General features: G+C 42.8%; 1 pseudogene; it reads right to left on the reverse strand.

The window, feature by feature from the left end:
- Nucleotides 1,623-2,016, reverse strand: ELOBP1 (elongin B pseudogene 1; annotated as a pseudogene).

Genomic DNA, 2,576 nt, shown 5'->3' on the forward strand with positions numbered 1-2,576 from the left:
ACCAGTTTTGGGCCTGGCATGGTGGCTCATGCCTGTAATCCCAGCACTTTGGGAGGCTGAGGCGGGCAGATCACGAGGTCAGGAGTTTGAGACCAGCCTAACCAACATGGTGAAACCCCATCTCTACTAAAAATACAAAAATTAGCTGGGCGTGGCGGTGTGCACCTGTAATCCCAGCTACTTGAGGGACTGAGGCGGGAGCATTGCCTGAACCCAGGAGGCGGAGGTTGTGGTGAGCTGAGATTGTGCCATTGCACTCCAGCCTGGGCAATAAGAGCAAAACTCTGTCTCAAAAAAAAAAAAAAACAGTTTTGTTTCTTCCTTTCTCAACCTTTTGTCTTTTATTTGGTTTTATCCTCTTACTTTCCTGGCTGAGTGCTTTGGTACAATGTTGAATAGAAGTGGTAATAATAGCCCATGTCCTTGTCATTTTCCTGATCTTACAGGAAATACTCTCAGAATGTCACTAATAAGGGTTTTATATATATATATATATATATATATACACACACACACACACACACACACACACATATATATACATATATATATATATATATATATAAATATATTTGTTGTTGTTATTGTTGAGATAGAGTCTTGCTGTGTTGCCAGGCTGGGGTGCAGTGGCATCATCTCAACTCACTGAAACCTCTCCCTTCCAGAAGTGATTCTCCCACCTCAGCCTCTGGAGCAGCTGGGACTACAGGCGCGCGCCACCATGCCTGGCTAATTTTTTTTTTTTGTATTTTAGTAGAGACGGGGTTTCGCCATGTTGGCCAGGATGGTCTTGAACTCCTGATCTCGTGATCCGCCTGCCTCAGCCTCCTAAAGTGCTGGGATTACAGGCGTGAGCCACCACGCCTGGCCAGTAAGAGTTATATTTTTAAATATTCTCTTTATGTAGTTGAGGCAGTTTTCTTGTATTCCTAGTTTGCCAAATACATTTTTTTTTAAACATGAAAATGTTGTGTCTTTCTTGCTTCTCAAGCAAACCATTGAGATAAGTTTCTCCTTTAATCCATTAACGTGGTAAATTGCATGAATTTATTTTCTGTTAAACTACCCTTGCATTCTTAGGACAAGCCCAAATTGGTCATAATGTATTTCCTTTTTTATAAGCTACCTTCTTTCATTCTCTCTCCCCAGGTCCCACCAGCGTTTTATCTATTCTATTAGTCTTTTCAAATAGTAAACTTTAGACCTTGTTGATTCTCTGTATTGTGTCTTTTCTTCCTATTTCATTGATTTCTGTTCTCATATTTAGTATCTTCTGTCTGCTTTGGGTTTAATCTATTGCCCTTTTTCTAATTTCTAAGAATGCACATTTAGCTAATAATTGTATTAAATTTCTTTTTTTCTAATATAAAGATGAGGTTTTAAAATTTACCTCCTTGTATCAATTGAGCATTAGGCCACAAGTTTGATATCTTATATTTATAAATGCTTACTTCTAAGTATTTCTTAATTTTTAGCCTGATTTTTTTGATTCATGAGTTATTTAGAAGGGGTTATTTAGAGTTATTTCCCAACCGTGTTCTTTAAAATACATGTATTTATTTTGTTATTGGTTTCTTTCCCCCCCAAATCTCTTCTATTGGGGGGAACTCGGGCGTCCTCACTGCACGGCTTGTTCATTGGCACTGCTTCCCGAGTCCTGGGGCTTCATCACGTCGGGCAGCTCAGGCGGGCTGGAAAACGGCTCGATGCACAGGGTCTCAAAGCTGTCGTCTGCGCGGAAGGCGAGCCCCACTGTGGCTGGGGCCTGTGGCCGTGCTGTTTGGCTGGTGAAGCCACACTCACCCAGTGTCTTGCCATCATCCAAGAGTTGGTCGTCCTAGCACAGCCACTGCTCATCTGGCAGCAGCTTGAGGATGGCCTCAACGATGCGCTTCAGCTCGAACACCGCGCTGGACTCCTTGGCGTCCGTGAAGATGCTGGTCTTGTGGCGCCGGATGGTGAGGAACACTTCCATCCCGGCGGCTGCCTCTCCCCTCGATGAGGTCGCGCGGCCGCGCTTGTTACTGATTTCTAACTTAGTTAAATTGTTCTAGAATATGTTTCAAATATTACTTTAATGTTTTTGAGGCTTATTTTATGATTTAGCACTTGTTCCTTTTTTTTTATTATTTTTGAGACGGAGTCTTGCTCTGTCGCCCAGGCTGGAGTGCAGTGGTGCCATCTTGGCTCACTGTAACCTCTGCCTCCTGGTTTCAAGTGATTCTCTTGTTTCAGCCTCCCGAGTAACTGGGATTACAGGTGCCTGCCATCACACCTGGCTAATTTTTGTATTTTTAATAGAGACGGGGTTTTGCCGTGTTGGCCAGGCTGGTTTTGAACTTCTGACCTCAGGTGATCCACCTGCCTTGGCCACCCAAAGTGCTGGGATTTCAGGCGTGAGCCACCTCGCCTGGCCTCCTTCTAGAAGCTTTAGGTGCTTAGCTTTTTACATTTAAGTTTATGATTGATTTTTAGTTAATTATGGTGTGTGGTTAAGGGATCAAAGCTTTTTTTTTTTTTCCTACATGGGTATAAACTGTTACGGCACCATTTATTGAAAAGGCTATCTTTTCTCT

This window comes from Homo sapiens, chromosome 13 (genome assembly GCF_000001405.40).
Source record: "Homo sapiens chromosome 13, GRCh38.p14 Primary Assembly".
NCBI lineage: Eukaryota > Metazoa > Chordata > Mammalia > Primates > Hominidae > Homo > Homo sapiens.